The sequence below is a fragment of the Homo sapiens genome, chromosome 2, assembly GCF_000001405.40.
Source record: "Homo sapiens chromosome 2, GRCh38.p14 Primary Assembly".
Taxonomy (NCBI): domain Eukaryota; kingdom Metazoa; phylum Chordata; class Mammalia; order Primates; family Hominidae; genus Homo; species Homo sapiens.
In genome coordinates, this window is record NC_000002.12 from 92,084,359 (window position 1) to 92,106,212 (window position 21,854).

Genomic DNA, 21,854 nt, shown 5'->3' on the forward strand with positions numbered 1-21,854 from the left:
TTCCATTTGATTCCATTTGATGGTTATTCCATTTGATTCCATTCGATGATTCCGTTTGATTCCATTCGATGATTCCCTTCGATTTCTTTCAATGATGATTCCATTCTATTCCATTCGATGAATCCATTCTATTCTATTCGATGATGATTCCTTTTGATTACATTCAAAGATGATTCCATTCGATTCCATTTGATGATGACTTGGTTTGGTTCAATTCGATGATGATTCCAACGGATATTTGCATAGTTGGAGGATTTCTTAAGAAACGGGAATATCCTCATATAAAATCTAGACAGAAGCATTATCAGAAACATCTGTGTGATGTTTGCATTCAAGTCACAGAGTTGAACATTCCTTTTCATAGAGCAGGTTCGAAACACTGATTTTGTAGTATCTGCAACAGAACATTTGGATCGCTTTGTGGCATATGGTGAAAAAGGAAATATCTTCCCATAAAAAATAGACAGAAGCATTATCAGAAACTAGTTTGTGATGTGTGTACTCAACTCACAGAGTTGAACCTTTCTTTTGATAGAGCATTTTAGCAACATCGTTTTTGTAGAATCTGCAAGAGGATATTTGGATACCTTTGAGGATTTCGTTGGAAACGGGAATATCTTCATATAAAATCTAGACAGAAGCATTCTCAGAAACATCTGTGTGATGTTTGAATTCAAGTCCCAGAGTTGAACATTCCCTTTCATAGAGCAGGTTTGAAATACTCTTTTTGTAGTATCTGGAACTCACAATTTGATCGCTTTATTCTTATGGTGAAAAAGGAAATATTTTCCCATAAAAGCTACACAGAAGCATTCTCAGAAACTTGTTGTGATGTGTGTACACAACTAACAGAGTTGAAAATTTCTTTGGATAGACCAGTTTTGAAACACTCTTTTTGTAGAATCTGCAAGAGCATATTTGGATAGATTTGTGGATTTTCTTTGGAAACGGGAATATCTTCATATAAAATACAGACAGAGGCAGTCTCAGAAACATCTCTGTGATGTTTGCATTCAAGTCACAGAGGTGAACATTCCCTTTCATACAGCAGGTTTGAAACACTGATTTTGTATTATCTGCAACCGGACATGTTGAGCCATTTTTGGTCTACGGTGAAAAAGGAAATATCTTCCCAAAAAAACTAGACAGAACCATTCTCAGAAAATAGTTTGTGATGTGTGTACACAAATAAAAGAGTTGAACCTTTCTTTTGATAGAGCAGCATTGAAAGACTCTTTTTGTTGAATCTGCAAGTGGATATTTGCATAGCTTTGAGGATTTCATTGGAAAAGGAAATATCTTCATACAAAATCTAGACAGAAGCATTCTCAGAAACATCTCGGCGATGTTTGCATTCAAGTCACAGAGTTAAACATTCCCTTTCAAGAAGCAGGTTTGAAAAAACTGATTTTGTAGTTTGTGGAACTGGACATGTGGAGCCAGTGGTGGCCTGTGGTGAAAAAGGAAATATCTTCCATTAAAAACTACGCGGAAGGATTCTCAGAAACTAGTTTGTGATGTGTTTACTGAACTACCAAAGTTGAACCTTTCTTTTGATAGAGCAGATTCATGCTGCTATAAAGACACATGCACAAGTATGTTTATTGCGGCATTATTCACAATAGCAAAGACTTGGAACCAACCCAAATATCCAACAATGATAGACTGGATTAAGAAAATGTGGCACATATACACCATGGAATACTATGCAGCCATAAAAAATGATGAGTTCATGTCCTTTGTAGGGACATGGATGAAATTGGAAACCATCATTCTCAGTAAACTATCGCAAGAACAAAAAACCAAACACCGCATATTCTCACTCATAGGTGGGAATTGAACAATGAGATCGCATGGACACAGGAAGGGGAATATCACACTCTGGGGACTGTGGTGGGGAGTGGGGGGAGGGATAGCATTGGGAGATATACCTAATGCTAGATGACACGTTAGTGGGTGCAGCACACCAGCATGGCACATGTATACATATGTAACTAACCTGCACAATGTGCACATGTACCCTAAAACTTAAAGTATAATTAAAAAAAAATACCTTTAATAATAAAAAAAAAGATAGAGCAGATTTGAAACAATCTTTTTGTAGAATCTGCAAGGGATATTTGGATAGCTTTGAGGATTTCATTGGAAACTGGAATATCTTCATACAAAATCTACACAGAAGCATTCTCAGAAACATCTTTGGGATGTTTGCATTCAAGTAATAGAGTTGAACATTCCCTTTCATAGAGCAGGTTTGAAACATTCTTTTTGTGGAATCTGGAAGTGGATATTTGGATCACATGGAGGCCTAATTGTGAACAAGGAGATATCTTCACATAAAAAGTAGACGGAAGCATTCTCCTAAACTTGCTTGGAATGTGTGTACTTAACTAACAGAGTTGAGCCTTTCTTTTGATAGAGCAGTTTTGAAACACTCTTTTTCTAGAATCTGCATGTGGATATTTGGATAGATTTGAGGATTTCGTTGGAAACAGGAATATCTTCATATCAAATCAAGACACAAGCATTCTCAGAAACATCTTTGGGATGTTAGCATTCTAGTCAAAGAGTTGAACATTCCCTTTCATAGAGCAGGTTTGAAACATTCTTTTTATAGTATCTGCAAGTGGACATTTTCATCGTTTTGAGACCTATGGTGAAAAAGGAAATATCTTCGTATAAAAACTAGACAGAAACATTCTCAGAAATAACTTTGTGATATGTTTACTCAACTAACACAGTTGAACCTTTCTTTTGATAGAGCAGTTTGAAACACTTTTTTTGTAGAATCTGAAAGTGGATATTTGGATAGCTTTGAGGATTTCTTTGGGAAAGGGGATATGTTCATATAAAATCTAGACAGAAGCATTCTCAGAAACATCTCTGTGAGGATTGCATTCAAGTCACAGGTTAAATATTCCCTTTCATAGAGCAGGTTTTAAACAATGAATTTGTAGTATGTGGAATTGGACATTTGGAGCGCTTTGTGGCCTAATGTGAAAAAGGAAATATCTTCCCACAAAAACTAGACAGAAGTACTCTCATAAACTACCTTGCGATGTGTGTGCTCAACTAACAGAGCTGAACATTTCGTTTGATAGAGCAGTTTTGAAACACTCTTTTTGTAGAATCTGCATGTGGATTTGGATAGCTTTGAGGATTTCGTTGCAAAGGGGAATATCTCTATATAAAATCTAGACAGAAGCATTCACAGAAACATCCTTGGGGTGTTAGCATTCAAGTCACAGAGTGGAACATTCACTTTCATAGAGCAGGTTTGAAACACTATTTTTGTGGAATCTGGAAGTGGACATTTTGATCGCTTTGAGGCCTATGGTGAAAAAAGGGAATATCTTCGCATAAAAACTAGAGAGAAGTATTCTCAGACACATCTTTGGGATGTTAGCATTCTAATGACAGAGTTGATCATTCCCTTTCATAGAACAGGTATGAAACACTCTTTTTGTAGTATCTGGAAGTGGACATTTTGATCACTTTGAGGCCTATGGTGAAAAAGGGAATATCATCGCATAAAAACTAGACAGAAGCATTCTCATAAACTTGTTTGTGATGTGTGAACTCAACAAACAGAGGTGAACTTTCTTTTGATAGAGCAGATTTGAAACACACTTTTTGTAGAATCTGCATGTGGATATTTAGATAGCTTCGAGGATTTCATTAGAAACGGGAAAATCTTCATATGAAATAGAGACACAAGCATTCTCAGAAACCTCTTTGGGATGTTAGCATTCGTGTCGCAGAGTTGATCACTCCCTTTCATAGAGCAGGTTTGAAACACTCTTTTTGTCATATCTGGAAGTGGACATTTTGATCGCTTTGAGGAGTAAGGTGAAAAAGGAAATATCTTCCCACAAAAACTACACAGAAGCATTCTCAGAAACTACTTAGTTATGTGTTTACTCAACTAACGGAGTAGAACCTTTCTTTTGATAGACCAGTTTTGAAACACTCTTTTTATAGAATCTGCAAGTGGATATTTTGATAGCTTTGAGGATTTCCTTGGAAATGGGAATATCCTCATATAAAATCTAGATAAAAGCATTCTCAGAAACACCTTTGTGATGTCTGCATTGAAGTCAGAGAGTTCTACATTCCCTTTCATAGAACAGCTTTGAAACACTATTTTTGTAGTATCTGGAAATGGACATTTAGATCGCTTTGAGGCCTATGGTGAAAAAGGAAATATCTTTACATAAAAACTAGACGGAAGCAGTCACCCAAACTTATTGGGAATGTGTGTACTCAACTAACCGATTTGGATTTTCCTTTGATAGAGCAGTTTTGAAACACTCTTTTTGTGGAATCTGCAAGTGGATATTTGGATAGCTTTGAGGATTAGGTTGGAAACGGGAATAAGTTCTTATAAAACCTAGGCAGAAGCATTCTCAGAAACATCTCTGTGAGGATTGCATTCAAGTCCCAGAGTTGAACATTCCCTTTCATAGAGCAGTTATGAAATCATGATTTTGTAGTATGTGGAACTAGACATTTGGAGTGCTTTGTGGCCTAGTGTGAAAAAGGAAATATCTTCCCATAAAAACTAGGCAGAAGCATTCTCAGAAACCAGTTTGTGATATGTGTACACAACTAACAGGGTTGAACATTTCTTCTGAGAGAAGACTCTTGAAACACTCTTTTTGTAGACTCTGCAAGGGGTATTTGGATAGCTTTGAGGATTTCGTTAGAAACGTGAATATCTTCGTATAAAATCTAGACAGAAGCATTCTCAGAAACATCTTTGGGATTTTTGCATTCAAGTCAAGGAGTTGAACATTCCCTATCATGGAGCAGGTTTGCAAAACTCTTTTTGTGGAAACTGGACGTGGACATTTAGATCGCATTGAGGCCTGTGGTGAAAAAAGGAATATCTTCGAATAAAAACTAGAGAGAAGCATTCTCATAATCTAGTTTGTGGTGTGTGTGCTCAACTAACAGAGCTGAACGTTTCTTTTCATAAAGCAGTATTGAAACACTCTTTTTTTAGAATCTACCTGTGGATATTTGGAAAGCTTTGAGGATTTCGTTGGAAACGCGAATATCTTCTTATAAAATCTAGATAGAAGCATTCTCAGAAACATCTTTGGGGTGTTAGCATTCAAGTCAAAGAGTTGAACATTCCCTTTCATAGAGCAGGTTTGAAACACTCTTTTTGTGGAATCTGGAAGTAGACATTTTGATCGCTTTGAGGCCTGTGGTGAAAAAGGGAATATCTTCGCATAAAAACTAGACAGAAGTATTCTCATAAACTAGGTTGTGATGTGTGTGCTCAACTAACAGAGTCGAAACTTTCTTTTGATAGAGCAGTTTTGAAACACTCTTTTTGTAGAATTTGCATGTGGATATTTGGACAGCATTGAGGATGTCGTTGGAATCGGGAAAATCTGCATATGAAATGGACACACAAGCATTCTCAGAAACCTCTTTGGGATGTTAGCATTCCAGTCGCAGAGTTGAACATTCTCTTTCATAGAGCAGGTTTGAAACACTCTTTTTGTATATCTGGAAGTGGACATTTTGATCGCTTTGAGGCGAAAGGTGAAAAAGGAAATATCTTCCCACAAAAACTACACAGAAGTATTCTCAGAAACTACTTTGTGATGTGTTTACTCAACTAACAGAGGTGAACCTTTTTTTTTGATAGACCACTCTTGAAACACTCTTTTTATAGAATCTGCAAGTGGATATTTTGATAGCTTTGAGGATTTCCTCAGAAACGATAATATCTTCATATAAAATCTAGAGAGAAGCATTCTCAGAAACAACTCTGTGATGTTTGCGTTCAAGTCAGAGAGTTGTACATTCCCTTTCATAGAGCAGGTTTGAGACACTCTTTTTGTAGTATCTGGAAATGGACATTTAGATCCCTTTGAGGCTTATGGTGAAAAACGAAATATCTTCGCATAAAAAATAGACGGAAGCAGTCTCCAAAACTTGTTTGGAATGTGTGTACTCAACTAACAGAGTTGAATCTTTCTTTTGATAGAGCAGTTTTGAAACACTCTTTTTGTAGAATCTGCAAGCGGATATTTTTGTATAGCTTTGAGGATTTCGTTGGGAATGGGAATATGTTCATATAAAATATAGACAGAAGCATTCTCAGGAACATCTCTGTGAGGATTGCATTCAAGTCCCAGAGTTGAACATTCCCTTTCATAGAGCAGTTATGAAATCATGATTTTGTAGTATGTGGAACTAGACATTTGGAGTGCTTTGTGGCCTAGTGTGAAAAAGGAAATATCTTCCCATAAAAACTAGGCAGAAGCATTCTCAGAAACCAGTTTGTGATATGTGTACACAACTAACAGGGTTGAACATTTCTTCTGAGAGAGGACTCTTGAAACACTCTTTTTGTAGACTCTGCAAGGGGTATTTGGATAGCTTTGAGGATTTCGTTAGAAACGTGAATATCTTCGTATAAAATCTAGACAGAAGCATTCTCAGAAACATCTTTGGGATTTTTGCATTCAAGTCAAGGAGTTGAACATTCCCTATCATGGAGCAGGTTTGCAAAACTCTTTTTGTGGAAACTGGACGTGGACATTTGGATCGCATTGAGGCCTGCGGTGAAAAAAGGAATATCTTCGAATAAAAACTAGAGAGAAGCATTCTCATAATCTAGTTTGTGGTGTGTGTGCTCAACTAACAGAGCTGAACGTTTCTTTTCATAAAGCAGTATTGAAACACTCTTTTTTTAGAATCTACCTGTGGATATTGGAAAGTTTTGAGGATTTCGTTGGAAACGCGAATATCTTCTTATAAAATCTAGATAGAAGCATTCTCAGAAACATCTTTGGGGTGTTAGCATTCAAGTCAAAGAGTTGAACATTCCCTTTCATAGAGCAGGTTTGAAACACTCTTTTTGTGGAATCTGGAAGTAGACATTTTGATCGCTTTGAGGCCTGTGGTGAAAAAGGGAATATCTTCGCATAAAAACTAGACAGAAGTATTCTCATAAACTAGGTTGTGATGTGTGTGCTCAACTAACAGAGTTGAACCTTTCTTTTGATAGAGCAGTTTTGAAACACTTTTTTTGTAGAATTTGCATGTGGATATTTGGACAGCATTGAGGATGTCGTTGGAATCGGGAAAATCTGCATATGAAATGGACACACAAGCATTCTCAGAAACCTCTTTGGGATGTTAGCATTCCAGTCGCAGAGTTGAACATTCTCTTTCATAGAGCAGGTTTGAAACACTCTTTTTGTATATCTGGAAGTGGACATTTTGATCGCTTTGAGGCAAAAGGTGAAAAAGGAAATATCTTCCCACAAAAACTACACAGAAGTATTCTCAGAAACTACTTTGTGATGTGTTTACTCAACTAACAGAGGTGAACCTTTTTTTTGATAGACCACTCTTGAAACACTCTTTTTATAGAATCTGCAAGTGGATATTTTGATAGCTTTGAGGATTTCCTCAGAAACGATAATATCTTCATATAAAATCTAGAGAGAAGCATTCTCAGAAACAACTCTGTGATGTTTGCATTCAAGTCAGAGAGTTGTACATTCCCTTTCATAGAGCAGCTTTGAAACACTCTTTTTGTAGTATCTGGAAATGGACATTTAGATCCCTTTGAGGCTTATGGTGAAAAAGGAAATATCTTCGCAAAAAAAATAGATGGAAGCAGTCTCCAAAACTTGTTTGGAATCTGTGTACTCAACTAACAGAGTTGAATCTTTCTTTTGATAGAGCAGTTTTGAAACACTCTTTTTGTAGAATCTGCAAGTGGATATTTTTGTATAGCTTTGAGGATTTCGTTGGGAATGGGAATATGTTCATATAAAATATAGACAGAAGCATTCTCAGGAACATCTCTGTGAGGATTGCATTCAAGTCCCAGAGTTGAACATTCCCTTTCATAGAGCAGTTATGAAATCATGATTTTGTAGTGTGTGGAACTGGACATTTGGAGTGCTTTGTGTCCTATTGTGAAAAAGGAAATATCTTCCCATAAAAAATTGGCAGAAGCATTCTCAGAAACCAGTTTGTGATGTGTGTACTCAACTAACAGGGTTGAACCCTTCTTTTGAGAGAGCACTCTAGAAACACTCTTTTTGTAGAGTCTGCAAGTGGATATTTGGATAGCTTTGAGGATTTCCTTGGAAACGGCAATATCTTCATATAAAATCTAAACAGACGATTCTCAGAAACATCTTTGGGATGTTTGCATTCAAGTCACAGAGTTGAACATTCCCTTTCATGGAGCAGGTTGAAAACACCCTTTTTGTGCAATCTGGAAGTGGACATTTGGATCGCATTGGGGCCTATGGTGAAAAAGGGAATATCCTCGAATAAAAACTAGACAGAAGCATTCTCATAAAGCAGTTTGTGATGTGTGTGCTCAACTAACAGAGCTGAACCTTTCTTTTCATAGAGTAGTTTTGAAACACTCTTTTTGTGGAATCTGCATGTGGATATTTGGAAAGTTTTGAGGATTTCTTTGGAAAAGGGAATATCTTCCTATAAAATCTAGACAAAAGCATTCTCGGAAACATCTTTGGGATATTAGCCTTCAAGTCACAGAGTTGAATATTCCCATACATAGAGCAGGTTTGAAACACTCTTTTTGTTGCATCTGGAAGTGGACTTTTGGATCGCTTTGAGGCGTGTGGTGAAAAAGGGAATATCTTCGCATAAAAACTATACAGAAGTATTCTCATAAACTAGTTTGTGATGTGTGTTCTCAACTAACAGATTTCAACATTTCTTTTGATAGAGCGGTTTTGAAACACTCTTTTTGTAGAATTTGCATGTGAATATTTGTACAACTTTGAGGATTTTGTCGGAAACCTGGAAATCTTCCTATGAAATCGAGACAAGCATTCTCAGGAATCTCTTTGGGATGTTAGCATTCGAGTCACAGAGTTGAACATTCCCTTTCATAGAGCAGGTTTGAAACACTCTTTTTGTAGTGTCTGGAAGTGGACATTTGGATTGCTTTCAGGCTTAAGGTGAAAAAGGAAATATCTTCCCACAAAAACTACACAGAAGCATTCTCAGAAACTACTTTGTGATGTGTTTACTCAACTTCAGAGTTGAACATTTCTTTTGATAGAGCAGTTTTGAAACACTCTTTTTGTAGAATCTGCAAGAGGATATTTGGAGAGCTTTGAGGATTTCTTGGAAACGGGACTATCTTCATATAAAATCTAGACAGAAGCATTCTCAGAAGCAAATTTGTGATGTTTACCTTGAAGTCAGAGAGTTGTACATTCCCTTTCATAGAGCAGGTCTGAAACACTCTTTTTGTAGTATGTGGAAATGGACATTTAGATCGTTTTGACACCTATGGTGAAAAAGGAAATATCTTCACATAAAAACTAGACGGAAGCAATCTCCAAAACTTGTTTGGAATGTGTGTACTCAGCTAACAGAGTTGAATCTTTTTTTTGATAGACAGTTTTGAAACACTCTTTTTGTAAAATCTGCAAGTGGATATTGGGATAGCTTTGAGGATTTCCTTGGAAAGGGGAATATGTTCATATACAAACTAGACAGAAGAATTTTCAGAAACATCTCTGTGAGGATTGCATTCAAGTCCCAGAGTTGAACATTCCCTTTCATAGAGCAGGTATGAAAACCTGATTTTGTAGTATGTGGAACTGGTCATTTGGAGTACTTCGTGACCTATTGTCAAAAGGGAATATCTTGCCATAAAAACTAGGTAGAAGTATTTTCAGAAACAAGTTTGTGATGTGTATACTCAACTAACAGGTTTGAAACTTTCTTTTGATAGAGCACTCTTGATACACTCTTTTTGTAGACTCTGCAAGGGGATATTTGGATAGCTTTGAGGATTTCTTTGGAAACGGGAATATCTTAATATGAAATCTAGACAGAAGCATTCTCAGAAACATCTTTGGGATATTTGCATTCAAGTCAGAGAGTTGAACATTCCCTTTCATGGAGCAGGTTTGAGACACTCTTTTTGTGCAATCTGGAAGTGGACATTTGGATCGCATTGGGGCCTATGGTGAAAATGGAAATATCTTCGAATAAAAACTAGACAGAAGCATTCTCATAAACTAGCTTGTGATGTGTGGGCTCAACTGACAGAGCGGAACCTTTCTTTTGAGAGAGCACTGTTGAAACACTCTTTTTGTACACTCTGCAAGGGGATATTTGGACAGCTTTGAGGATTTCGTTGGAAACAGGATATCTTCATATAAAATCTCGACAGAAGCATCCTCAGAAACATCTTTGGGATGTTTGCAATCAAGTCACAGAGTTGAACATTCCCTTTCATGGAGCAGGTTTGAAACACTCTTTTTGTGGAATCTGGAAGTGGACATTTGGATCGCTTTGAGGCCTGCGGTGAAAAAGGGAATATCTTCGAATAAAATCTAGACAGAAGCATTCTCATAAACTAGTTTGTGATGTGTGTGCTTAACTAACAGAGCTGAACCTTTCTTTTCATAGAGCGGTTTTGAAACACTCTTTTTGTAGAATCTGCATGTGGATATTTGGAAAGCTTTGAGGATTTCTTTGGAAACGGGAATATCTTCACTTAAAATCTAGACAGAAGCATTCTCAGAAACGTCTTTGGGGTGTTAGCATTCAAGTCACATAGTTGAACGTTCCTTTTCATAGAGCAGTTTTGAAACACTCTTTTTGTGGAATCTGGAAGTGGACATTTGCATCGCTTTGAGGCCTGCGGTGAAGAAGGTATATTTTCGCATAAAAACTAGACAGAAGTATTCTCATAAACTAGTTTGTGATGTGTGTGTTCAACTACCAGAGTTGAACCTTTCTTTTGATAGAGCAGTTTTGAAACACTCTTTTTGTGTAATTTGCATGTGGATATTTGGACAGCTTTGAGGATTTTGTTGGAAACGGGAAAATCTTCATATGAAATCGAGACACAAGCATTCTCAGAAACCTCTTTGGGATGTTAGCGTTCGAGTCACAGAGTTGATCACTCCCTTTCATAGAGTAGCTTTGAAGCACTCTGTTTGTAATATCTGGAAGTGGACGTTTTGATCGCTTTGAGGCGTAAGGTGAAAAAGGAAATATCTGGCCACAAAAACTACACAGAAGCATTCTCAGAAACTACGTTGTGATGTGTTTACTCAACTAACAGAGTTGAACCTTTCTTTTGATAGAGCAGTTTTGAAACACTCTTTTTGGAGAATCTGCAGGTGGATATTTGGATAGCTTTGAGGATTTCCTTGGAAAAGGGAATATCTTCATATAAAATCTAGACAGAAGCCTTCGCAGAAACACCTTTGTGATGTTTGCATTGAAGTCAGAGAGTTGTACATTCCCTTTCATAGAGCAGCTTTCAAACACTCTTTTTGTAGTATCTGGAGATGGACATTTACATCGCTTTGAGGCCTATGGTGAAATAGGAAATCTGTTCGCATAAAAACTAGACGGAAGCAGTCTCCAAAACTTGCTTGGAATGTGTGTACTCAACTAACAGAGTTGAATCTCTCTTTTGATAGAGCAGTTTTGAAATACTCTTTTTGTAGAGTCTACAATTGGATATTTGGATAGCTTAGAGGATTTCGTTGGAAACGGGAATATGTCCATACAAAACCTAGACAGAAGCATTCTCAGAAAAATCTCTGTGAGGATTGCATTCAAGTCCCAGTGTTGAACATTCCCTTTCATAAAGCAGGTGTGAACACAAGATTTTGTAGTATATGGAACTGGACATTTGGAGTGCTTTGTGACCTATTGTGAAAAGGGAAATATCTTCCCATATAAACTAGGCAGAAGCATTCTCAGAAACCAGATTGTGATGTGTGTACTCAACTAACAGGGGTGAACCTTCCTTTTGAGAGAGCACTCTTGAAACACTCTTTTTGTAGACTCTGCAATGGGATATTTGGACAGCTTTGAGGATTTCGTTGGAAACGGGATATCTTCATATAAAATCTCGACAGAAGCATCCTCAGAAACATCTTTGGGATGTTTGCATTCAAGTCACAGAGTTGAACATTCCCTATCATGGAGCAGGTTTGAAACACTCTTTTTGTGGAATCTGGAAGTGGACATTTGGATCGCATTGAGGCCTACGGTGAAAAAGGGAATATCTTCGAATAAAAACTATATAGAAGCATTCTCATAAACTAGTTTGTGATGTGTGTGCTTAACTAACAGAGCTGAACCTTTCTTTTCATAGAGCGGTTTTGAAACACTCTTTTTGTAGAATCTGCATGTGGATATTTGGAAAGCTTTGAGGATATCGTTGGAAACGGGAATATCTTCACATAAAATCTAGACAGAAGCATTCACAGAAACGTCTTTGGGGTGTTAGCATTCAAGTCACAGAGTTGAACGTTCCTTTTCATAGAGCAGGTTTGAAACACTCTTTTTGTGGAATCTGGAAGTGGACATTTGGATCGCTTTGAGGCCTGCGGTGAAAAAGGTATATCTTTGCATAAAAACTAGACACAAATATTCTCATGAACTAGTTTGTGATGTGTGTGCTCAACTACCAGAGTTGAACCTTTCTTTTGATAGAGCAGTTTTTAAACACTCTTTTTGTGTAATTTGCATGTGGATATTTGGACAGCTTTGAGGATTTCGTTGGAAACGGGAAAATCTTCATATCGAGACACAAGCATTCTCAGAAACCTCTTTGGGATGTTAGCGTTCGAGTCACAGAGTTGATCACTCCCTTTCATAGAGTAGCTTTGAAGCACTCTGTTTGTAGTATCTGGAAGTGGACGTTTTGATCGCTTTGAGGCGTAAGGTGAAAAAGGAAATATCTTGCCACAAAAAATACACAGAAGCATTCTCAGAAACTACGTTGTGATGTGTTTACTCAACTAACAGAGTTGAACCTTTCGTTTGATAGAGCAGTTTTGAAACACACTTTTTGGAGTATCTGCAGGTGGATATTTGGATAGCTTTGAGGATTTCCTTGGAAAAGGGAATATCTTCATATAAAATCTAGACAGAAGCCTTCGCAGAAACTCCTTTGTGATGTTTGCATTGAAGTCAGAGAGTTGTACATTCCCTTTCATAGAGCAGCTTTGAAACACTCTTTTTGTAGTATCTGGAGATGGACATTTAGATCGCTTTGAGGCCTATGGTGAAATAGGAAATATCTTCGCATAAAAACTAGACGGAAGCACTCTCCAAAACTTCCTTGGAATGTGTGTTCTCAACTAACAGATTTGAGTCTTTCTTTTGATAGAGCAGTTTTGAAACACTCTTTTTGTAGAGTCTGCAAGTCGATATTTGGATAGCTTAGAGGATTTCGTTGGAAACGGAATATGTCCATAGAAAACCTAGACAGAAGCATTCTCAGAAAAATCTCTGTGAGGATTGCATTCAAGTCCCAGGGTTGAACATTCCCTTTCATAAAGCATGCGTGAACACAAGATTTTGTAGTATATGGAACTGGACATTTGGAGTGCTTTGTGACCTATTGTGAAAAAGGAAATATCTTCCCATATAAACTAGGCAGAAGCATTCTCAGAAAACAGTTTGTGATGTGTGTACTCAACTAACAGGGTTGAACCTTTCTTTTGAGAGAGCACTCTTGAAACACTCTTTGTAGACTCTGCAAGGCGATATTTTGACAGCTTTGAAGATTTCGTTGGAAACGGGATATCTTCATATAAAATCTCGACAGAAGCATCCTCAGAAACATCTTTGGGATGTTTGCATTCAAGTCACAGAGTTGAACATTCCCTTTCATGGAGCAGGTTTGAAACACTCTTTTTGTGGAATCTGGAAGTGGACACTTGGATCGCATTGAGGCCTACGGTGAAAAAGGGAATATCTTCGAATAAAAACTATACAGAAGCATTCTCATAAACTAGTTTGTGATGTGTGTGCTTAACTAACAGTGCTGAACCTTTCATTTCATAGAGCGGTTTTGAAACACTCTTTTTGTAGAATCTGCATGTGGATATTTGGAAAGCTTTGAGGATTTCGTTGGAAACGGGAATATCTTCACATAAAATCTAGACAGAAGCATTCTCAGAAACGTCTTTGGGGTGTTAGCATTCAAGTCACAGAGTTGAACGTTCCTTTTCATAGAGCAGGTTTGAAACACTCTTTTTGTGGAATCTGGAAGTGGACATTTGGATCGCTTTGAGGCCTGCGGTGAAAAAGGTATATCTTCGCATAAAAACTAGACAGAAGTATTCTCATTAACTAGTCTGTGATGTGTGTGCTCAACTACCAGAGTTGAACCTTTCTTTTGATAGAGCAGTTTTGAAAAACTCTTTTTCTAGAATTTGCATGTGGATATTTGGACAGCTTAGAGGATTTCGTTGGAAACGGGAAAATCTTCATATGAAATCGAGACACAAGCATTCTCAGAAACGTCTTTGGGGATGTTAGCGTTCGAGGCACAGAGTTGATCACTCCCTTTCATAGAGCAGCTTTGAAGCACTCTTTTTGTAGTATCTGGAAGTGGACGTTTTGATCGCTTTGAGGCGTAAGGTGAAAAAGGAAATATCTTGCCACAAAAACTACACAGAAGCATTCTCGGACACTACGTTGTGATGTGTTTACTCAACTAACAGAGTTGAACCTTTCCTTTCATAGAGCAGTTTTGAAACAGTCTTTTTGGAGAATCTGCAGGTGGATATTTGGATAGCTTTGAGGATTTCCTTGGAAAAGGGAATATCTTCATATAAAATCTAGACAGAAGCATTCGCAGAAACACCTTTGGGATGTTTGCATTGAAGTCAGAGAGTTGTACATTCCCTTTCATAGAGCAGCTTTGAAACACTCTTTTTGTAGTATGTGGAGATGGACATTTAGATCGCTTTGAGGCCTATGGTGAAATAGGAAATATCTTCGCATAAAAACTAGACGGAAGCAGTCTCCAAAACTGCTTGGAATGTGTGTACTCAACTAACAGAGTTGAATCTTTCTGTTGATAGAGCAGTTTTGAAACACTCTTTTTGTAGAGTCTGCAAGTGGATATTTGGATAGCTTAGAGGATTTCGTTGGAAACGGGAATATGTCCATACAAAACCTAGACAGAAGCATTCTCAGAAAAATCTCTGTGAGGATTGCATTCATGTCCCAGTGTTGAACATTCCCTTTCATAAAGCAGGTGTGAACACAAGATTTTGTAGTATATGGAACTGGACATTTGGAGTGCCTTGTGACCTATTGTGAAAAAGGAAATATCTTCCCATATAAACTAGGCAGAAGCATTCTCAGAAACCAGATTGTGATGTGAGTACTCAACTAACAGGGTTGAACCTTTCTTTTGAGAGAGCACTCTTGAAACACTCTTTTTGTAGACTCTGCAATGGGATATTTGGACAGCTTTGAGGATTTCGTTGGAAACGGGATATCTTCATATAAAATCTCGACAGAAGCATCCTCAGAAACATCTTTGGGATGTTTGCATTCAAGTCACAGAGTTGAACACTCCCTATCATGGAGCAGGTTTGAAAAACTCTTTTTGTAAAATCTGGAAGTGGACATTTGGATCGCATTGAGGCTTACGGTGAAAAAGGGAATATCTTCGAATAAAAACTAGATAGAAGCATTATCATAAACTAGTTTGTGATGTGTGTGCTTAACTAACAGAGCTGAACCTTTCTTTTCATAGAGCGGTTTTAAAACACTCTTTTTGTAGAATCTGCATGTGGATATTTGGAAAGCTTTGAGGATTTCGTTGGAAACGGGAAAATCTTCACATAAAATCTAGACAGAAGCATTCTCAGAGAAGTCTTTGGGGTGCTAACATTCAAGTCACAGAGTTGAACGTTCCTTTTCATAGAGGAGGTTTCAAACACTCTTTTTGTGGAATCTGGAAGTGGACATTTGGATCGCTTTGAGGCCTGTGGTGAAAAAGGTATTTCTTCGCATAAAAACTAGACAGAAGTATTCTCATGAACTAGTTTGTGATGTGTGTGCTCAACTACCACAGTTGAACCTTTCTTTTGATAGAGCAGTTTTTAAACACTCTTTTTGTGTAATTTGCATGTGGATATTTGGACAGCTTTGAGGATTTCGTTGGAAACGGGAAAACCTTCATATGAAATCGAGACACAAGCATTCTCAGAAACCTCTTTGGGATGTTAGCGTTCGAGTCACACAGTTGATCACTCCCTTTCATAGAGCAGCTTTGAAGCACTCTGTTTGTAGTATCTGGAAGTGGACGTTTTGATTGCTTTGAGGCGTAAGATGAAAAAGGAAATATCTTGCCACAAAAACTACACAGAAGCATTCTCAGAAACTACGTTGTGATGTGTTTACTCAACTAACAGAGTTGAACCTTTCTTTTGATAGAGCAGTTTTGAAACACTCTTTTTGGAGAATCTGCAGGTGGATATTTGGATAGCTTTGAGGATTTCCTTGGAAAAGGGAATATCTTCATATAAAATCTAGACAGAAGCCTTCGCAGAAACACCTTTGTGATGTTTGCATTGAAGTCAGAGAGTTGTACATTCCCTTTCATAGAGCAGCTTTCAAACACTCTTTTTGTAGTATCTGGAGATGGACATTTACATCGCTTTGAGGCCTATGGTGAAATAGGAAATCTCTTCGCATAAAAACTAGACGGAAGCAGTCTCCAAAACTTGCTTGGAATGTGTGTACTCAACTAACAGAGTTGAATCTTTCTTTTGATAGAGCAGTTTTGAAACACTCTTTTTGTAGAGTCTACAAGTGGATATTTGGATAGCTTAGAGGATTTCGTTGGAAACGGGAATATGTCCATACAAAACCTAGACAGAAGCATTCTCAGAAAAATCTCTGTGAGGATTACATTCAAGTGCCAGTGTTGAACATTCCCTTTCATAAAGCAGGTGTGAACACAAGATTTTGTAGTATATGGAACTGGACATTTGGGGTGCTTTGTGACCTATGGTGAAAAAGGAAATATCTTCCCATATAAACTAGGCAGAAGCATTCTCAGAAACCGGTTTGTGATGTGTGTACTCAACTAACAGGGTTGAACCTATCTTTTGAGAGAGCACTCTTGAAACACTCTTTTTGTAGACTCTGCAAGGGGATACGTTGACAGCTTTGAGGATTTCGTTGGAAACTGGAATATCTTCACATAATATCTAGACAGAAGCATTTTCAGAACCGTCTTTGGGGTGTCAGCATTCAAGTCACAGATTTGAACGTTCCTTTTCATAGAGCAGGTTTGAAACATTCTTTCTGTGCAATCTGGAAGTGGACATGTGGATCGCATTGAGGCCTACGGTGAAAAAGGTGTATCTTCGCATAAAAACTAGACAGAAGTATTCTCATGAACTAGTTTGTGATGTGTGTGCTCAACTACCAGAGTTGAACCTTTCTTTTGATACAGCAGTTTTTAAACACTCTTTTTGTGGAATTTGCATGTGGATATTTGGACAGCTTTGAGGATTTCGTTGGAAACGGGAATATCTTCATATGAAATCGAGACACAAGCATTCTCAGAAACCTCTTTGGGATGTTAGCGTTCGAGTCACAGAGTTGATCACTCCCTTTCATAGAGCAGGTTTGAAGCACTCTTTTTGTAGTATCTAGAAGTGGACGTTTTGATCGCTTTGAGGCGTAAGGTGAAAAAGGAAAAATCTTGCCTCAAAAACTACACAGAAGCATTCTCAGAAATTTATTTGTGATGTGCGCCCTCAACTAACAGTGTTGAACCTTTCTTTTGATAGAGCAGTTTTGAAACACTCTTTTTGTAAAATCTGCAAGAACATATTTGGACAGCTTTGAGGATTTCGTTGGAAACGGGATTGTCTTCATATAAACTCTAGACAGAAGCATTCTCAGAAACTTCATTGGGATGTTTCTATTGAAGTCGCAGTGTTGAACAGTCCCTTTCATGGAGCAGGTTTGAAACACTCTTTTTGTAGTATCTGGAAGTGGACATTTGTAGCGCTTTCAGGGCTATGTTGAAAAAGGAAATATCTTCCCATAAAAACTAGACAGAAGCATTCTCTGAAACTAGTTTCTGAGTTGTGTCCTCAAATAACAGAGTTGAATATTTCTTTTGACAGAACAGTTTTTTAACACTCTTTTTGTGGAATCTGCAAGTGGATATTTTGCTGGCTTTGAGGATTTCGTTGGAAACGGGAATACATACAAAAAGCAGACAGCAGCGTTGTGAGAAACGTCTTTATGATGTTTGCATTCAAGTCACAGAGTTGAACGTTCCGTATCATAGAGCAGGTTGGAAACACGCCTTTTGTCATATCTGGAAGTGTCCATTTGGAGTGCATTCAGGCTTGTGTTGAAAAAGGAAATACCTTCCCATAGAAACAAGACAGAAGCATTCTCAGAAACTTATTTGTGATGTGTGTACTCAACTAACAGAATTCAACAATCGTTTTGAAGGAGCAGTTTTGAAACACTCTTTTTGTGGAATCTGCAAGTGCATATTTAGCTAGATTTGAGGATTTCGTTGGAAACGGGATTACATATAAAAAGCAGGCCGCAGCATTCTCAGAAACTTCTTTGTGATGTTTGCATTCAAGTCACAGAGTTGAACATTCCCTTTCATAGAGCAGGATTGAAAAACTCTTTTTGTAGAATCTGGATGTGGACATTTGGAGCGCTTTCAGGCCTATGGTGAAAAAGGAAATATCTTCCCCTGAAAACTAGACAGAAGCATTCTCAGAAACTTATTTGTGATGTGTGCCCTCAACTAACAATGTTGAACCTTTCTTTTGATAGAGCAGTTTTGAAACACTATTTTGTTAAATCTGCAAGAGGATATTTGGATAGCTTTGAGGATTTCGTTGGAAACGGGATTGTCTTCATATAAACTCTAGACAGAAGCATTCTCAGAAATTTCTTTGGGATGTTTCAATTGAAGTCACAGTGTTGAACATTCCCTTTGTTAGAGCAGGTTTGAAACACTCTTCTTGTAGTATCTGGAAGTGGACATTTGGAGCGCTCTCAGGACTACCGTGAAAAAGGAAATATCTTCCAATGAAAGCTAGATAGAAGCAATGTCAGAAACTTTTTTATGATGTATCTGCTCAGCTAACAGAGTTGAACCTTTCTTTTGAGAGAGCAGCTTTGAAGCACTCTTTTTGTGGAATATGCAAGTGGATATTTGTCTAGCTTTGAGGATTTCGTTGGAAACGGGATTACATATAAAAAGCAGACAGCAGCATTCCCAGAAACTTCTTTGTGATGTTTGCATTCAAGTCACAGAGTTGAACATTCCCTTTCATAGAGCAGGTTTGAAACACTCTTTTTGTAGTATCTGGATGTGGACATTTGGAGCGCTTTCAGGCCTATGGTGAAAAAGGAAATATCTTCCCCTGAAAACTAGACAGAAGCATTCTCAGAAACTTATTTTGATGTGCGCCCTCAAGTAACAGTGTTGAACATTTCTTTTGATAGAGCAGTTTTGAAACACTCTTTTTGTAGAATCTGCAAGTGGATATTTGGATAGCCTAGAGGATTTCGTTGGAAACGGGAATATGTCCATACAAAACCTAGACAGAAGCATTCTCAGAAAAATCTCTGTGAGGATTGCATTCAAGTCCCAGTGTTGAACATTCCCTTTCATAAAGCAGGTGTGAACACAAGATTTTGTAGTATATGGAACTGGACATTTGGAGTGCTTTGTGACCTATTGTGAAAAAGGAAATATCTTCCCATATAAACTAGGAAGAAGCATTCTCAGAAACCAGTTTGTGATGTGCGTACTCAACTAACAGGGTTGAACCTTTCTTTTGAGAGAGCATGCTTGAAAAACTCTTTTTGTAGACTCTGCAAGGGGATATTTGGACAGCTTTGAGGATTTCGTTGGAAACGGGATATCTTCATATAAAATCTCGACAGAAGCATCCTCAGAAACATCCTTGGGATGTTTGCATGCAAGTCACAGAGTTGAACTTTCCCTTTCATGGAGCAGGTTTGAAACACTCTTTTTGTGGAATCTGGAAGTGGATATTTGGATCGCATTGAGGCCTACGGTGAAAAAGGGAATATCTTCGAATAAAAACTAGACAGAAACATTCTCATAAACTACTTTGTGATGTGTGTGGTTAACTAACAGAGCTGAACCTTTCTTTTCATAGAGCGGTTTGGAAACACTCTTTTTGTACAATCTGCCTGTGGATATTTGGAAAGCTTTGAGGATTTCTTTGGAAACGGGAATATCTTCACATAAAATCTAGACAGAAGCATTCTCAGAAACGTCTTTGGGGTGTTAGCATTCAAGTCACAGAGTTGAACGTTCCTTTTCATAGAGCAGGTTTGAAACACTCTTTTTGTGGAATCTGGAAGTGGACATTTGGATCGCTTTGAGGCCTGCGGAGAAAAAGGTATACCTTCGCATAAAAGCTAGACAGAATTATTCTCACGAACTAGCTTGTGATGAGTGTGCTCAACTACCAGAGTTGAACCTTTCTTTTGATAGAGCAGTTTTGAAACACTCTTTTTGTAGAATTTGCATGTGGCTATTTGGACACCTTTGAGGATTTCGTTGGAAACGGGAAAATCTTCATATGAAATCGAGACACAAGCATTCTCAGAAACCTCTTTGGGATGTCAGCGTTCAAGTCACACAGTTGATCCCTCCTTTCATAGAGCAGGTTTGAAGCACTCTTTTTGTAGTATCTGGAAGTGGACGTTTTGATCGCTTTGAGGCGTAAGGTGAAAAAGGAAATATCTTGCCACAAAAACTACACAGAAGCATTCTCAGAAACTACGTTGTGATGTGTTTACTCAATTAACAGAGTTGAACCTTTCTTTTGATAGAGCAGTTTTGAAACACTCTTTTTGGAGAATATGCCGGTGGATATTGGGATAGCTTTGTGGTTTTCCGTGGAAAAGGGAATATCTTCATATAAAATCTAGACAGAAGCATTCGCAGAAACACCTTTGCGATGTTTGCATTGAAGTCAGAGAGTTCTACATTCCCTTACATAGAGCAGCTTTGAAACACTCTTTTTGTAGTATCTGGAGATGGACATTTAGATCGCTTTGAGGCCTATGGTGAAATAGGAAAATCTTCGCATAAAAACTAGATTGAAGCAGTCTCCAAAACTTGCTTGGAATGTGTGTACTCAACTAACAGAGTTGAATCTTTCTTTTGATAGAGCAGTTTTGAAACACTCTTTTTGTAGAGTCTGCAAGTGGATATTTGGATAGCTTAGAGGATTTTGCTGGAAACGGGAATATGTCCATACAAAACCTAGACAGAAGCATTCTCAGAAAAATCTCTGTGAGGATTGCATTCAAGTCCCGGTGTTGAACATTCCCTTTCATAAAGCAGGTGTGAACACAAGATTTTGTAGTATATGGAAGTGGACATTTGGAGTGCTTTGTGACCTTTTGTGAAAAAGGAAATATCTTCCCATATAAACTAGGCAGAAGAATTCTCAGAAACCAGTTTGTGATGTGTGTACTCAACTAACAGGGTTGAACCTTTCTTTTGAGAGAGCACTCTTGAAACACTCTTTTTGTAGAATCTGCAAGGGGATATTTTGTCAGCTTTGAGGATTTCGTTGGAAAAGGGATATCTTCATATAAAATCTCGACAGAAGCATCCTCAGAAACATCTTTGGGATGTTTGCATTCAAGTCACAGAGTTGAACATTCCCTTTCATGGAGCAGGTTTGAAACACTCTTTTTGTGGAATCTGGAAGTAGACATTTGGATCGCATTGAGGCCTACGGTGAAAAAGGGAATATCTTCGAATAAAAACTAGACAGAAGCATTCTCATAAACTAGTTTGTGATCTGTGTGCTTAACTAACAGAGCTGAACCTTTCTTTTCATAGAGCGGTTTTGAAACACTCTTTTTGTAGAATCTGCATGTGGATATTTGGAAAGCTTTGAGGATTTCGTTGGAAACCGTAATATCTTCACATAAAATCTAGACAGAAGCATTCTCAGAAACGTCTTTGGGGTGTTAGCATTCAAGTCACAGAGTTGAACGTT

The 21,854-nt window shown here is 37.8% G+C and overlaps 13 annotated features.

The window, feature by feature from the left end:
* Positions 316 to 906: an enhancer, noted in NCBI's record as "OCT4-NANOG hESC enhancer chr2:92272700-92273290 (GRCh37/hg19 assembly coordinates)". NCBI's record gives its function as "activates a minimal SCP1, AML or CMV promoter by ChIP-STARR-seq in naive and primed H9 embryonic stem cells {active_cell/tissue: H9 hESC(naive and primed)}" and the evidence as "EXISTENCE:reporter gene assay evidence [ECO:0000049][PMID:30033119]".
* Positions 1,033 to 1,564: an enhancer, noted in NCBI's record as "OCT4 hESC enhancer chr2:92273417-92273948 (GRCh37/hg19 assembly coordinates)". NCBI's record gives its function as "activates a minimal SCP1, AML or CMV promoter by ChIP-STARR-seq in naive and primed H9 embryonic stem cells {active_cell/tissue: H9 hESC(naive and primed)}" and the evidence as "EXISTENCE:reporter gene assay evidence [ECO:0000049][PMID:30033119]".
* Positions 1,910 to 2,877: an enhancer, noted in NCBI's record as "OCT4-NANOG hESC enhancer chr2:92274294-92275261 (GRCh37/hg19 assembly coordinates)". NCBI's record gives its function as "activates a minimal SCP1, AML or CMV promoter by ChIP-STARR-seq in naive H9 embryonic stem cells {active_cell/tissue: H9 hESC(naive)}" and the evidence as "EXISTENCE:reporter gene assay evidence [ECO:0000049][PMID:30033119]".
* Positions 7,953 to 8,475: an enhancer, noted in NCBI's record as "OCT4-NANOG-H3K27ac hESC enhancer chr2:92280337-92280859 (GRCh37/hg19 assembly coordinates)". NCBI's record gives its function as "activates a minimal SCP1, AML or CMV promoter by ChIP-STARR-seq in primed H9 embryonic stem cells {active_cell/tissue: H9 hESC(primed)}" and the evidence as "EXISTENCE:reporter gene assay evidence [ECO:0000049][PMID:30033119]".
* Positions 8,476 to 8,998: an enhancer, noted in NCBI's record as "OCT4-NANOG-H3K27ac hESC enhancer chr2:92280860-92281382 (GRCh37/hg19 assembly coordinates)". NCBI's record gives its function as "activates a minimal SCP1, AML or CMV promoter by ChIP-STARR-seq in naive and primed H9 embryonic stem cells {active_cell/tissue: H9 hESC(naive and primed)}" and the evidence as "EXISTENCE:reporter gene assay evidence [ECO:0000049][PMID:30033119]".
* Positions 8,999 to 9,520: an enhancer, noted in NCBI's record as "OCT4-NANOG-H3K27ac hESC enhancer chr2:92281383-92281904 (GRCh37/hg19 assembly coordinates)". NCBI's record gives its function as "activates a minimal SCP1, AML or CMV promoter by ChIP-STARR-seq in naive and primed H9 embryonic stem cells {active_cell/tissue: H9 hESC(naive and primed)}" and the evidence as "EXISTENCE:reporter gene assay evidence [ECO:0000049][PMID:30033119]".
* Positions 9,569 to 10,510: an enhancer, noted in NCBI's record as "OCT4-NANOG hESC enhancer chr2:92281953-92282894 (GRCh37/hg19 assembly coordinates)". NCBI's record gives its function as "activates a minimal SCP1, AML or CMV promoter by ChIP-STARR-seq in naive H9 embryonic stem cells {active_cell/tissue: H9 hESC(naive)}" and the evidence as "EXISTENCE:reporter gene assay evidence [ECO:0000049][PMID:30033119]".
* Positions 10,511 to 11,452: an enhancer, noted in NCBI's record as "OCT4-NANOG hESC enhancer chr2:92282895-92283836 (GRCh37/hg19 assembly coordinates)". NCBI's record gives its function as "activates a minimal SCP1, AML or CMV promoter by ChIP-STARR-seq in naive H9 embryonic stem cells {active_cell/tissue: H9 hESC(naive)}" and the evidence as "EXISTENCE:reporter gene assay evidence [ECO:0000049][PMID:30033119]".
* Positions 11,463 to 12,162: an enhancer, noted in NCBI's record as "OCT4-NANOG-H3K27ac-H3K4me1 hESC enhancer chr2:92283847-92284546 (GRCh37/hg19 assembly coordinates)". NCBI's record gives its function as "activates a minimal SCP1, AML or CMV promoter by ChIP-STARR-seq in naive and primed H9 embryonic stem cells {active_cell/tissue: H9 hESC(naive and primed)}" and the evidence as "EXISTENCE:reporter gene assay evidence [ECO:0000049][PMID:30033119]".
* Positions 12,163 to 12,860: an enhancer, noted in NCBI's record as "OCT4-NANOG-H3K27ac-H3K4me1 hESC enhancer chr2:92284547-92285244 (GRCh37/hg19 assembly coordinates)". NCBI's record gives its function as "activates a minimal SCP1, AML or CMV promoter by ChIP-STARR-seq in naive and primed H9 embryonic stem cells {active_cell/tissue: H9 hESC(naive and primed)}" and the evidence as "EXISTENCE:reporter gene assay evidence [ECO:0000049][PMID:30033119]".
* Positions 17,749 to 18,370: an enhancer, noted in NCBI's record as "OCT4-NANOG-H3K27ac-H3K4me1 hESC enhancer chr2:92290133-92290754 (GRCh37/hg19 assembly coordinates)". NCBI's record gives its function as "activates a minimal SCP1, AML or CMV promoter by ChIP-STARR-seq in naive and primed H9 embryonic stem cells {active_cell/tissue: H9 hESC(naive and primed)}" and the evidence as "EXISTENCE:reporter gene assay evidence [ECO:0000049][PMID:30033119]".
* Positions 18,371 to 18,992: an enhancer, noted in NCBI's record as "OCT4-NANOG-H3K27ac-H3K4me1 hESC enhancer chr2:92290755-92291376 (GRCh37/hg19 assembly coordinates)". NCBI's record gives its function as "activates a minimal SCP1, AML or CMV promoter by ChIP-STARR-seq in naive and primed H9 embryonic stem cells {active_cell/tissue: H9 hESC(naive and primed)}" and the evidence as "EXISTENCE:reporter gene assay evidence [ECO:0000049][PMID:30033119]".
* Positions 19,791 to 20,306: an enhancer, noted in NCBI's record as "OCT4-NANOG hESC enhancer chr2:92292175-92292690 (GRCh37/hg19 assembly coordinates)". NCBI's record gives its function as "activates a minimal SCP1, AML or CMV promoter by ChIP-STARR-seq in naive and primed H9 embryonic stem cells {active_cell/tissue: H9 hESC(naive and primed)}" and the evidence as "EXISTENCE:reporter gene assay evidence [ECO:0000049][PMID:30033119]".